This window comes from Homo sapiens, chromosome 19, assembly GCF_000001405.40.
Source record: "Homo sapiens chromosome 19, GRCh38.p14 Primary Assembly".
Taxonomy (NCBI): Eukaryota; Metazoa; Chordata; class Mammalia; order Primates; family Hominidae; genus Homo; species Homo sapiens.
This window is the reverse complement of record NC_000019.10, coordinates 16,971,087-16,985,186: the sequence shown is the minus strand read 5'-3', so window position 1 is coordinate 16,985,186 and position 14,100 is coordinate 16,971,087. Positions and strand designations below refer to the sequence as shown.

The 14,100-nt window shown below is 49.5% G+C and overlaps 1 protein-coding gene across 15 annotated transcripts in view; it reads left to right on the top strand.

Annotated features, from left to right (window-relative positions):
• The window catches only part of CPAMD8 (C3 and PZP like alpha-2-macroglobulin domain containing 8), a 133,860-nt gene that overhangs the window by 41,624 nt on the left and 78,136 nt on the right, over positions 1-14,100 (top strand). For 13 of the 15 annotated variants that reach the window (XM_011527917.2, XM_047438612.1, XM_011527922.2 and 10 more), the window contains exons 14-17: positions 4,501-4,690; positions 7,647-7,819; positions 9,036-9,185; positions 9,929-10,090. In XM_011527917.2, coding sequence (XP_011526219.1) covers positions 4,501-4,690; positions 7,647-7,819; positions 9,036-9,185; positions 9,929-10,090 — 675 coding nt within the window. Of the gene's footprint in view, positions 1-4,500; positions 4,691-7,646; positions 7,820-9,035; positions 9,186-9,928; positions 10,101-14,100 lie in introns of those variants that run through there. The other 2 variants (NR_165644.1, XM_011527925.1) reach the window with 2 other exon arrangements.

Below are 14,100 nucleotides of genomic sequence, written 5' to 3'. Positions count from 1 at the left end.
TTTTTTGGCTGCAGCATTTGAAAGCAAGTTACAAACATGATAGTGCTTCACTCTTAAATACTTGACCATAATGTATACTTAAAAAAAGGCATTATTTTACCTGACCTCAAGGCCATTTTCTTAGGTCACACCTAAGAAAATTACATTCACCAAATTATATTGTCTAATTCATAGGCAATATTCAGATTTTCAATGGGTACCCTAAAAATGTAATTTACATTTAGTGTTTGTTTGCATGCATATGTGACTGCATGATTGTATCACACATGTGTGACTACACATGAGTGTGCATGTGCATTTGTGTGAGTGTGTGTGCATGCTCACCCATGTGTATGTACTTGGTTTTTAGGGGTTTCACTATGTTGCCCAGGCTGGTCTTGAACTCCTGGCCTCAAGTGATCCTCTCTGCCTCAGCCTCCCAAGGTGTTGAGATGACAGATGTAACCACCACACCCAGCCCCACTACTGTTAATAATTGGGTTGTTTATCTTTGTTGAGTCGTGAAAGTTCTTTCTAAATTCTGGATACTAGCCCTCATCAGATGTGTAATTTGCAGACATTTTCTCCTATACTATGGGTTATCTTTTCACTTTCCTGACAGTGTCCATTAGTGCAACAAAAAATTTTAATTTTGATGAAATCCAATTTCTCTTTTTCTTTTGCTGCTTGTACTTCCGATGCCACATCTCAAAGAAACCATTGCCAAATCTAAGGTCATGATTTATCTCTGTGTTTTCTTTTAAGAGTTTTATAGTTTCAGCTCTTACATTTAGGTCTTTCATCTGTTTTGAGTTAATTTTTTTATATGGTGTGAGGTAGGGATCCAAATTCATTCTCTCTCTCTCTCTCTCTCTCTTTTTTTTTTTTTTTTTTGAGATAGGACCTTGCTCTGTCACCCAGGCTGAGGTGCAGTAGTGTGATCATAGCTCACTGCAGCTCAACCTCCTGGGCTCAAGTGATCCTCCCACCTCAGCTTCCTAAAGTGTTGAGATTGCAGGTGTGAGCCACCACCCACAGACCAACTTCACTCTTTTGCATGTACCTATTCAGTTGTCTCAGCACTGTTTGTTAAAAAGACTATGCTTTCCCCATTGAATGGTCTTGGCACCCTTATTTCAAATCAGTTGCCCTTAGCTGTCTGGATTCATTTCAGGGCTCTCACTTCTATCCCACTGGTTTCTATGTCTCTCCTTATGCTGGTACTACACTGTCTTGATTACTGTAGCTTTGTAGTAAGTTTTGAAATTAGGAAGTGTGAGTCCTCCAATGTTATTCTTCTTTTTCAAGATTCCTGAGTCCTTTGTGTTTTCATATAAATTTTAAGATCAGTTCCATTTCTGCAAAAAAGGCCATTGAGATTTTGATAGGCTTCCCCTAATGCTAACATCTTACAAGACTATGATCCATTTGTCATAACTAAGAATCAACACTGGACATCAGTGTTAACCAGACTCCAGATTTTATTTGGATTTCCCCAAGTTATCCCACTCATGGCCTTGTTTTCTGGTCCGGGATCACCTTTAGGGTCCCACGTCACATTTAGTCATCACGTCTCCTTGGTCTCCTCCAATCTGAAAATTTTATTCTTTCCTTGTCTTTCACGACCTTGACATTCTTCTTTTTCCTTTCTTTGTTTTTAATTAATTTATTTTTGAGACAGGGTCTTGCTCTGTCACTCAGTATATTAGTCCGTTTTCATGCTGCTGATAAAGACATACCCACGACTGGGTAATTTATAAAGAAAAATAGGTTTATTGTTATTTATTTATTTATTTATTTATTTATTTTGAGATGGAGTCTCACTCTGTCACCCAGGCTGGAGTGCAATGGCACAATCTCAGCTCACTGGAACCTCTGCCTCTCAGGTTCAAGCAATTTTGCTGCCTCAGCCTCCTGGGCTGGGATTACAAGCACCTGCCACCGTGCCTTGCTAATTTTTGTATTTTTGTAGAGATGGGCTTTCCCCATGTTGGGGAGGCTGGTGTTGAACTCCTGACCTTAGGTGATCCGCTTGCCTTGGCCTCCCAAAGTACTGGGATTACAGACGTGAGCCACCATGCCCAGCCAGAAAAAGAGGTTTAATGGATTCACAGTTCCACGTGGCTGGGGAGGCCTTACAATCATGGCAGAAGGTGAAAGGTACATCTTACATGGTGGCAGACAAGAGAGAATGGGAACCAAGTGAAAAGGAAAACCCCTTATAAAATTATCAGATCTCACGAGACTCATTCTCTACCATGAGAACTGTATTGGGGAAACTGTCCCCATGATTCAGTTATCTCCCACTGGGTCCCTCCCAGAACACATGGGAATTATGGGAGCTACAATTCAAGATGAGATTTGAGTGGGGACACAGCCAAACCATAGCACCCGAGGCTGGAGGGTGGTGGCACAGTCATGGCTTACTGCAGCCTTGACCTCCTGTGCTCAAGTGATCCTCCTGCCTCAGCCCCCCTAGATAGCTGGGACTATGGGCTTGTGCCACCACACCCAGCTATTTTTTTTATTATTTTTTGTGGAGATGGAGTTTTGCCATGTTGTTCAGGCTGGTCTTGAACTCCTGAACTCAAGCAATCTGCCTGCCTCAGCCTCCCAAAGTGTTAGGATTATAGGCATGAGCCACCACACTCAGCTGACATTCTTCTTTTTGCTGCTCAAATTTTCCAAATTTGGCTGTGGGAGTCCCTTAGGCCCAGCTTCTTAAACAGGCAGATTCTTCCTTTAGGGGGAGGTAGAATGACATTTATTTTTCTTACTATATATTTTTTTAATTAAAAAATATTGATTGATTGATTGAGACAGGGTCTCACTCTGTTGCCCAGGCTAGGGTGCAGTGGCATGATCATGACTCACCGCACATCGACCTCCCTGGCTCAAGTGATCCTTCCGCCTTAGCTTCCCGAGTAGCTGAGACCACAGGCACCCACCACCACATCCACCTAATTTTTGTATTTTTGTAGAGATGGGGTTTCACCATGTTGCTGTGGCGGGTCTTGAACTCCTAGACTCAAGCAATCCTCTCGCCTCGGCCTCTCAATGTGCTGAGATTACAAAGCATGAGCCACTGCGCCTGGCCAAAGTTTTTTGATTTTTTGTAGAGACGGGATCTCACTTTGTTGCCCAGGCTGGTCTCAAGCTTCTGGGCTCAAGTGATCCACCCACCTCAGCCTAACAAAATACTGGGATTACAGGTGTGAGCCATGGCCCCTGGCCAGAATGACACTTATTAGCCACCTACAGTGTGCATTGTGTGATGTTGAGCATGACACACACATCATCTCATTGGAGCCTCAGGACCCTCTGTCCAGGAGATAACAGCCTTATTTTACAGGTGGGGAAACTGAGGCTCAGAGAGGTGAAATGATTTGCCCAAGCTTCCACGGCAAGAATGTCACTCTTCCCCTACTCCAGATATCCCTCTTCTGGGCTTTCAGGGTGATCCCAACATTTGGGGACAGTCACAGATTGCAAAACATGGAACAGAGGCGGGATTCCTAGGGCAAAGTGTTGGACATGGCCACACGCCAACCCCCTAGGGAGATCTTAGGACCTGGGAGGCCTTAGCTTTCCTGATATCAGAATAATGGCAGCTTCAGGGTTCAATGTGGGGCCTTAGCATCAGTTCCCCTGAGTTTGAATCCTGCCCTACACTCATTGACATTGGGCAAAGAACCAAGGCCTCAGTTTCCAGTTTTCCCCTCTAGGAACTTGGGGACTATGATAGGACCCAACTCATTGAGTTCATATCCTAAGAGAAGGCCCAGCCCACTTGTGGCATTAGCACGTTCAAAGTTAGGAAACAGTATTTTATTTTTATTTTTTTTTGGAGACAGGGTCTCACTCTGTTACCCAGGCTGGAGTGCAGTGGTGCGATCATGGCTCACTGCAGCCTTGACTTCCTAGGCTCAAGTGACCCTCCCACTTCAGCCCCCTGAGTAGCGGGGACTACAGGCATGTGCCACCACGCCTGGCCAATTTTATGTGTGTGTGCTTTTTGTAGAGATGGGGGTCTCACTATGTTGCTCAGGCTGCTCTCTAACTTCTGGACTTGAGCGATCTGTCCGCTTCAGCCCCCCAAAGTGCTGGGATTACAGGCGTGAGCCCAAAATACTGGGATCACGAGGTCAGGAGTTCGAGACCAGCCTGGCCAACATGGTGAAACTCCGTTTCTACTAAAAATACAAAAATTATACCGGCATGGTGGCGGGCGCCTGTAATAGCTACCCAGGAGGCTGAGGCAGGAGAATCACTTGAACCCAGGAGGCAGAGGTTGCAGCGAGCTGAGATCTCACCATCGCATGCCAGCCTGGGTGACAAGAGTGAAACACTATCTTAAAAAAGAAAACAAAAAACAAAAAAGCTAGGGGCCAGGACTGGATGCTGGGCACTCCGCTCCCTCAGCCATCCCAACCTCCCTCTGGCCCCAGAATGGCCGTCTTCCTGTGGTGGGTTGCAACATTGGTGCGAGGCAGAGCCCCCCATGCTGCGTGTCTTCCATAGGTTGGGGAAGAAGCCTATTTTTCTGTGAAGTCCACATGTCCCTGCAACTTTACCCTGTACTACGAGGTGGCTGCACGGGGCAATATTGTGCTATCGGGCCAGCAGCCTGCCCACACCACCCAGCAGCGAAGCAAGCGGGCGGCCCCTGCCCTGGAGAAACCGATTCGTTTAACACACCTTTCTGAGACAGGTGAGCCGGGCAGCAGGGAGAAGGTTCCTGTTCTTCCTTCTGAACAATTGAGACTGAGATGGGTGCTCCTGCAAGGAGGGACAAGGCAAGACCCAGCAGAGAGGGGAGCATGCCTTGGGTCAGAGGGGACACATCCTTAACAATACCAGACTGGGTCCAGGAAGACAGTGATCAGCTGCTGGAAGTGGAGAGGTTCAGGCCCCAGACTCTTCTCACTCTGTGTGTGCAGGGGACAGGGAAAGCCAGCCACAGACTAGGCTCTTGCACTGGCCCACATTGTGCTGTTGCCTCTTTGCCCAGGCGGTTCTGCCTATGAGTCCTCTTCCTCTTCTCTTTTTGACACCATGTGCTCCTCATAAGGCCCTCCTCCCAGGGGACTTCCTTAGTCCCCTCCTCTTCAAAGCTCTTCTTCTCAATACAGGGTCCCCAACTTGAGCACTATAGACATATATAAGGGGGTGGATCACTCCAGAGTGGGGGCGTCCTGTGCACTGTAGGGTGCTGAGCAGCATCCCTGGTCTCTCCCCACCAGATGCCAGTAGTACCAACTTTCCACAGTATGATGACCTAAAGAGTCTCCAGATATTGCCACTATCCCCAGGGGGCAGAGTCACTTCCAGGTGAGGACACTGAGATAGGTAGGTAGATAGACAGAATGATGGGTGGATAGATAGATAGGCAGGATCTCTCAGGCGAAGGCAAGGTTTCTCAACCTTGGCACTATCAACATTTGGGCAAGATCATTCTCTGTGGTGGAGGCACTGTAGGATATTGAGCAGCATCCCTGGCCTCCACCCCATAGATGCCAATAGCCCTATAGATGATAGAGGGATGGATCAATGGATGGATGGACAGATAGAAAGATGGATGAATGGATGGATGGATGGATGGACTGATAGAACAGTGGATAGATGGAAGGATGGATGGATGGATGGATAGGTGGATAGATGGATGAATGGACAGAGAGATGGATGGATGGATGGATGGACCAAAAGATGGATGGACAGAAGGATGGATGGATGGATGAATGGACAGATGGATGGGTGGATTGATAGATGGATGGATGGATGGATGGACCAAAAGATGGATGGATGGATGGATGGATGGATGAATGGACAGATGGATGGATGGACAGATGGATGGATGAATGGACAGATGGATGGCTGGATGAATAGATGGATGGATGAATAGATGGATGGAGGTACAGAAGGATGGATGGATGGATGGCTAATGGGTGGGTGGATGAGGATTAGATGAATAGATGGATGGATGGATGGATAGTGGGTGGGCGGATGATGACTGGATGAATAGATGAATGGATGGATGGATAGTGGGTGGATGGGTGGATGATGGATGGATGAATAGATGGATGGTTGGATGGATAGATGGATGGATAGTGGGTGGATGAATGGGGGATGATGGATGGAAGAATAGATGGATGGATAGTGGGGTGGGTGGATGAGTGGATGATGGATGGATGAACAGATGGATGGATGAACAGATGGATAGATGATTGGATGGTGGATGGGTGGGTGGATGATGGATGGATAAATGGATGGATGGTGGGTGGGTGGATGATGGATGATGAATAGAGGGATGGGTGGATGGTTGGATGGGTGGATGATGGATGGTTGATGAATAGAGGGAAGGGTGGATGGTGGGTGAGTGGATGGATGGGTAGATGGTGGATGGATGAAGAGATGGATGGATGGATAGATAGAAAGATGAGTGGATAGATGGATGGATGGATAGATAGACAGACAGAGAAGATCCCTCCTTCTTAGGCAGGCTTTCTCACCCTCTGCACTGTCAACATTTGGGACCATCCCATGCACTGTAGGATGCTGAATAGCATCTCTGGCTTCTATTCACCGGAAGCCAGTAGCATCCCCTCCAGCAGTGATGACCAAAAAACATCCGCAGATATTGCCAGCATCCCCTGGGTAGCAGAATTGCCTTGGCTGAGAACTGCTGGCCAGAGTCCTGCTTTGGGCATGGTGCACCTTCACCCTCTTGGTCTTCTCTTCTCTTCTGGGTGAAATAACAGGGACTTTATGTCTCCCTGGAATCCTTGTCCAGGGCCAGCCCTGGGCTTGGAACTCCCCACAATCTGTCCCCATTTAACCCCACTGCAGCCTGGGATGGTGGTGGTTCCACTGTGTCCATCTGCAGATGAATGGGCTGTGACTTGGGGGTGGGGGTTTCAGGGACTTTCCCATTGCCTAGTAGGGGCCAGAGCCAAGATTTGAACCCCAAGGCCGATTGGGTACCCACTTCCTCCTGTTGCCCATGAGTTTCCTTGTGTCCCCGCTTTCCCCTACCATCCCTGTCCACTGGCTGCTCTGAGCTCTGCACAGAACCAGCTGACAGATGGCCCATTCTGGAACTGGGAGCCTTTCTACCCTCATTCTCTTGCCGTAGAGTATTTGGGAGTGCCTGGACAGGCTTCTAAGATCCTCTATCCTTTAAGGATCATTTACCCACAGGGAAGGCAGTATGAACTCGGTTCAAGTCAGCAAATAATGGCTGCCCAGGTCTGCTGGCCCCAGGCCCCAGCAAGACAGAGCCAATCAGAGGGAGGGACTGGAGGTCAGGGGCATATTGGGGAGCTGCAGTGGTGCTGCCTGGACAAGCCAAGGTGGTTTTGGTGTCCGCGGAGGAAGCAGAGGGCTGGTCAGGGAGCAGGGACCATGTTCCCCGGCAGAGAGGATGATTCTAGGCAAATTCCAGCCTGCTCTGTAGGAGCCCATGGTGACCCTAGAGCTGAGTCAATAGAAAGAGTCAGCATTGACTGAGGATGTAGCCTGGGAAGGGCATCTCAAAACCAAAGATGCAGACTGTCTCAATGCGTAGACAGGAGCATAGCGCAGGGCAAATTGGGGCAGAGCCTGAATGGCTGAGGTTGCATGTCGGATGCGGAGAATTCACCACCTCTCTCTACTTTTGCTCACCTCAGAGCCCCCACCAGCCCCAGAAGCTGAGGTCGACGTGTGTGTGACCTCTCTTCATCTGGCCGTGACCCCCAGCATGGTCCCCCTTGGTCGCCTGCTGGTCTTCTACGTCAGGGAGAATGGAGAAGGGGTCGCCGACAGCCTTCAGTTTGCAGTCGAGACCTTCTTCGAAAACCAGGTAGAGCATCGTGCACTGAACCTGGGACACAGCCAGGGGCCATCGGGGCTTCTCCAAGGTGCTGGCCAGGGGGTCTGTGCACACCTGAGACTCATGTTGTGTCGCAGCATGATGTAAGGAATTATGGGAACATGAGTTGCATCTTTACTGAAGCATCTCCAAAAGTCACACAAAAGGAGATTGCATTCAAAACACATGGGGAAAGCCATCAATTATTCTCTGCCTTTGTTGAATTCAGGATTTAAGGGACAGCACTTGTTTCCATTGGCACCCTCAGCCTCCTCTCCCCCTCCCTGCAACAACTTTATTATTATTATTATTATTTTGAGACGGAGTCAAGCTCTGTCACCCAGGCTGGAGTGCAGTGGCACGATCTCGGCTCACTGCAACCTCTGCCTCCCGGGTTCAAGCAATTCTCCGGCCTCAGCCTCCCGAGTAGCTGAGACTACAGGCATGTGCCACCATGTCTGGCTAATTTTTGTATTTTTAGTAGAGATGGGGTTTCACCATGTTGGCCAGGCTGGTCTTGAACTCCTGGCCTCAAGTGATCCACATGCTTCAGCCTCCCGAAGTGCTGGGATTACAGGTGTGAGCCACTGCGCCTGGCTCCTCCCTGCAACTTGTAAACAAACTGCCACAGGCTCTCCGCCAGCACCTGCCTTCCCATCTCTGCCTGTCCCTCTGTGTTCCCTTCTTTGTGCCCGCTGCACAATGACCAGCTGCCCTTCACAGTGTGGGACCAGTTTCACCCAGGTAGCGAGGCCAGGTTCCCAGCTGAGCTGGCAAAGACCCACTCTCCTTGGTGGGCAGGGGGTGCATGGGTGGGGCAGAAGAGATGCCTCTGGACTAGACCAAACCTGGATTGAACCAAGTTTCTTTTTTTCATTGTTTGAAATGGAGTTTCATTCTTGTTGCCCTGGCTGGGGTGCAACCACACTCTCTCAGCTCCCTGCAACCTCTGTCTCTGGGCTTCAAGCGATTCTCCTGCCTCAGCCTCCTAAGTAGCTGGGATTACAGGCACCTGCCACCATGCCCAGCTAAATTTTGTATTTTTAGTAGAGATGGGGTTTCACCATGTTGGCCAGGCTGGTCTCGAACTCTTGACCTCAGGTGATCCACCCGCCTCGGCCTCCCAAAGTGTTGGGATTACAGGCGTGAGCCACCACTCACAGCCAACTGAACCAAGTTTCTTATCCCTTGCTGCATTTGCGCCAAGGTTTCAGTGACGTATTCAGCAAATGAGACCCAACCTGGGGAGGTTGTCGACCTGCGGATCAGGGCTGCAAGGGGCAGCTGTGTGTGCGTCGCCGCAGTTGATAAGAGTGTCTACCTGCTCAGGTCTGGGTTCCGGCTGACTCCTGCCCAGGTGAGCAGACCCCTCGGGCTTGGGTTCTAGACCTCCACGGGGCTTTACCTTCTCTTGCTCTCCCTTTCCCATCTCTCATTCCAATAAATGAAGAGTGGCATTTGAATCCAGATTCGCTTTCTCCGTCGGGTTCATTTTTCAGGGAACCTAATGGGTGTCTGATAAATCCTTCCTGCTGCTTCAGCACAGTTGCAAGATCAGGGAGTCAAGGTCATCAGATTTTTGCAACATGACATTGGGCCAGGTCTCACCTCTCTGGCTCCAATTTGCCCATCTTATTTTATATTATTTTTAGAGTTGGGATGTTGCTCTGTTGCCTGGGCTGGAGTGCAGTGGCGTGATCATAGCTCACTGTAGCGAACACCTCCTGGGCTTAAACGATCCTCCCACCTCAGCCTCCAGAGTAGCTGGGGCTACAGGCATGCACCACCACGCCTGGCTAATTTTTTCTATCTTTTGTAGGGGCGGGGTCTTGCTATGTTGCCCAGGCTGGTCTCGAACTCCTTTGCACAAGCCAGCCTCCTGTTTCAGCCTCCCCAGTAACTGGGATTAGAGGCATGGGCCACTGTGCCTGGCTCCTGTTTGCCCATCTTAAAATGGGCTGATGCTACCAGTGCCCATCTCCTGGAGGTTGTCATGACGTGATAAAGAGGTTGGGATGGGAGCATGCCACACCCACGGGAGCCAGTTTGGGTTGTAAAGAAAACTTCAGCTGACAAGTCTCTGTCCCCCTTTGCCTGCAGGTTTTCCAGGAACTGGAAGATTATGATGTTTCTGATTCCTTTGGCGTGTCCAGGGAGGATGGTCCTTTTTGGTGGGCTGGGCTGACGGCACAACGACGCCGGCGCTCCTCTGTCTTCCCGTGGCCTTGGGGCATCACCAAGGACTCTGGGTTTGCCTTCACCGTAAGGAGAGGTGGTCTCAGATCCCTCTGCCCCCTTCTAAGTTCCTCTTGCCTAGAAATAAGAGTCTTGGAGATTCAGAAATGGGTTGGAAACAGAATTGGAAGCTTTTCTTTCTTTTTTTCGAGATGGGGTCTCGCTCTGTGGCCCAGGCTGGAGTGCAGTGGTGTGATCATAGCTCACTGCAGCCTCAAACACCTGTGCTCAAGTGATCCTCCCACCTCAGTCTCCCAAGTAGCTGGCACTACAGGTGCATGCCACCACACCTGGCTAATTTTATTTTGCTTTATTTCTTTGTAGAGATGGGGTCTTGCTACGTGGCCCTGGCTAGTGTCAAACTCCTGGCCTCAAGCAATCCTCCTGCTTCAACTTCCCAAAGTGTTAGGATTACAAGCATGAGCCATTGCACCCAGCCTTCCAAACTTTTCTTTTTCATTTCTCCCCAGTGAAAGCTCACAAGTAGATTCTTCCAATTTGCAAAGCCGTGGAGAGCAGAATGTTATGCATGTCAATGGTCAGGTTCAAATGGGTAACTTGAACTTGTGATGGGACGTGTTATGACATTGACGTGCTTTGCTGCGAGGAAAACCTTCTCATTGGGAGCTGTGGGTGCCAGTAGCTCTTAGCTCTGCCTCGGCTTTGGTTAACTTGGTTGTGTGTCTGGCAGCTTTCAAGCAGAAGGAGGTGGCTGTGATCCCAGGTGGCAGGGGGTCTGAACTGCATAGGTGATCCTCGTGCCCCAGCCTCCCTAGTCGCTGGGATTAGAGGCATGAGCCACTGTGCCCAGCTCCAGTTTACCCATCTTAAAAAGGGCTAAGGGGGCGCCTGTAGTCCCAGCTACTCGGGAGGCTGAGGCAGGAGAATGGCGTGAACCTGGGAGGCGGAGCTTGCAGTGAGCCAAGATTGCGCCACTGCACTCCAGCCTGGGCGACAGAGCGAGACTCCGTCTCAAAAAAAAAAAGGGCTAATGCTGGCTGAGCGCGGTGGCTCATGCCTGTAATCCCAGCACTTTGGGAGGCTGAGGTGGGCGGATCACAAGGTCAAGAGATCGAGACCATCCTGGCCAACACGGTGAAACCCCCTCTCTACTAAAAACACAATAATTAGCTGGGCGTGGTGGTGCATGCCTGTAGTCCCAGCTACTTGGGAGGCTGAGTCAGGAGAATCACTTGAGCCCGGGAGGTGGAGGTTGCAGTGAGCAGAGATCACATCACTTCACTCCAGCCTGGTGACAGAGCCAGACTCCGTCTCAAAAAAAAAAAAAAAAAAAAAGGGCTAATGCTATCAGGTGCCCATCTCTGGACGTTTTCATGATGTGATATAGATAGAAAGGGATTGGGATGGGAGCATGCTTCGCCCTTCAGGGTCACACCTTAGGGTGCTGGTGGTCTCCACTCAAATGCGTGTCCCATTGGAGGGTGCCTTTCATTTCAGCTTTAAAAAATATTTCTGGCCAGGTGTGGTGTCTCACGCCTGTAATCCCAGCACTTTGGGAGGCCAAGACACGTGGATCACCTGAAGTCAGGAGTTCGAGACCAGCCTGGCCAACATGGTGAAACCCCGTCTCTACTAAAAATACAAAAATTATCTGGGTGTGGTGGTGGGCGCCTGTAATCCCAGCTACTCGGGAGGCTAAGGCAGGAGAAGCTCTGGAACTGGGAGGCGGAGGTTACAGTGATCACGCCACTGCACTCCAGCCTGGGTGGTAGAGCGAGACTCTGTCTCAAAAAAATGAAATTAAATAAATAAATAAAATTTCAAAGGCATCCTTCCCTCCCCAACCTGTGTTGCTTTTATGATGAAAATTTCCAAACATGCAGAAAAGTTGAGCGAATTAGACAAATACCCACATGCCTGCCACCTAGTTCCCACAGTTCTATTTGCTAAAAACAAAACAAACAAACAAAAAAATCTCTTATTTTTCTTTTTTTGAGACAAGATCTCACTTTGTCACCCAGGCTGGTATGCAGTGGCGTGATCTCAGCTCACTTCAGTCTCGACCTCCTGGGCTCAAGCGATCCTCCTGCCTCAGCCTCCTGAGTAGCTGGGACCACAGACACACGCCATCATGCCTCGCTAATTTTTTTCGTATTTATAGAGATGGGGTTTCACCATGTCACCCAGGCTAGTCTTGAACTCCTGGGCTTAATGGATCCACCCGCGTTAGCCTCCCGAAGTGCTGGGATTACAGACATACACCACTGTACCTGGCAAAATAAACCTTTGTGTTTTGTTTTTTGTTTTGAAAAATAACATTTCATTTATGAGTATGTGAACTGCCTGGCAGTTTGAACTCCAGGTCCCTTCTGGAAGTCAGAGGTGACGCCTTTGAGTCAAAGGAACTGGGTTTGAATTTCTTATTCAAAGGCTGGGCGCGGTGGCTCACGCCTGTAATCCCAGCACTTTGGGAGGCTGAGACGGGCGGATCACGAGGTCAGGAGATCGAGACCATCTTGGCTAACACAGTGAAACCCCGTCTCTACTAAAAATACAAAAAATTAGCCGGGCGTGGTGGCGGGCGCCAGTAGTCCCAGCTACTCAGGAGAATGAGGCAGGAGAGAATGGCATGAACCTGGGAGGCGGAGCTTACAGTGAGCCGAGATCGCGCCACTGCACTCCAGCCTGGGCGACAGAGTGAGACTCCGTCTAAAAAAAAAAAATTCTTGTTCACAAATCCAAGTCAGCCCAGGCTACAGTGAGTCTTCTTTCAAATCCAGTTGCTCCCAGTAATTAGTACAATGATGAGGACAGAATAAAAAGACTAATTGCATAGCCGGGCATGGTGGTGCACTCCTCTAGTCCCAGCTACTCAAGAGGCTGAGGTGGGAGGATCACTTGAGCCTGGGAGTTTGAGGCTGCAGTGAGCTATGATTGCAGCACTGCACCCCAGCCTGAACCACAGATGGAGGCCGTCTCTAATAATACTAATACTAATAAAAGAGATCATTGCATCCCACCGTTGGTCCTTGGTTGGGGTCAGGTACTGCGCCAACTGATTTCCTCCCCTGCTCTCCCCTCACTTCCCCTTCCTTCTTTTCTTTTCTTTTTCTTTTGAGATGGAGTCTTGCTCTATTGCCCAGGCTGGAGTGCAGTGGTGTGATCTTGGCTCACTGCAACCTCCGCCTCCTGGGTTCCAGTGATTCTCCTGCCTCAGCCTCCCAAGTAGCTGGGATTACAGGTGCCCACCACCATGCCTGGCTAATTCTTGTATTTTTAGTAGAGATGGGGTTTCACCGTGTTGGCCAGGCTGGTGTTGAACTCCTGATCTCAAGTGATCCGCCCACCTCGGCCTCCCAAAATGCTGGGATTACAGGCATGTGCCACTATGCCTGGCCATGATTTTTCTAATCGAGATGAAATTCATATAACATAAAACTCACCGTTTAAAATTCAGTGGCATTTATTATATTCACAGTGCTGTGCAACCACCACCCCTACTTAATTCCAGACCATTTTCATCCCCCAAAAGGAAACCCCATCCCCAGTAGCAATTACTCCCCATTTCCCCTCCCTCAGCCCCTGGCAGTCACCAGTTGATCTGCTTTCTGTCTCTATGGATTTGCCTGTTCTGGGCGTTTCATCTCAACGGAATCATACAACATATGGCCTTTTGTGTTTGGACCATCTGATTTGGTTGCACAGTTCAAATGTGCTGTTCTCTCTTCTCCACCCTGGATGGTCACTGGGTCCCACGTTCTCCCCAGCCTGTGCCACCAAACCCAGAGTAAAAGAATGATGCCCCATGGTGACGGGCACCTGTAGTCCCAGCTACTAGGGAGGCTGAGGCAGGAGATAGGCGTGAACCTGGGAGGTGGAGCTTCCAGTGAGCCAAGATTGCGCCACTGCACTCCAGCCTGGGCGACAGAGCGAGACTCCGTCTCAAAAAACAACAAACAAACAAAACAAAACAAAACAAACCCAAAAAAGCAAAAAAAGAATGATGCCCCCAAGGTTGCCACAAGCTGATATTGGGACAGTGGCCACAGGGTGATTCATTCCCTTATGCTTCTGGG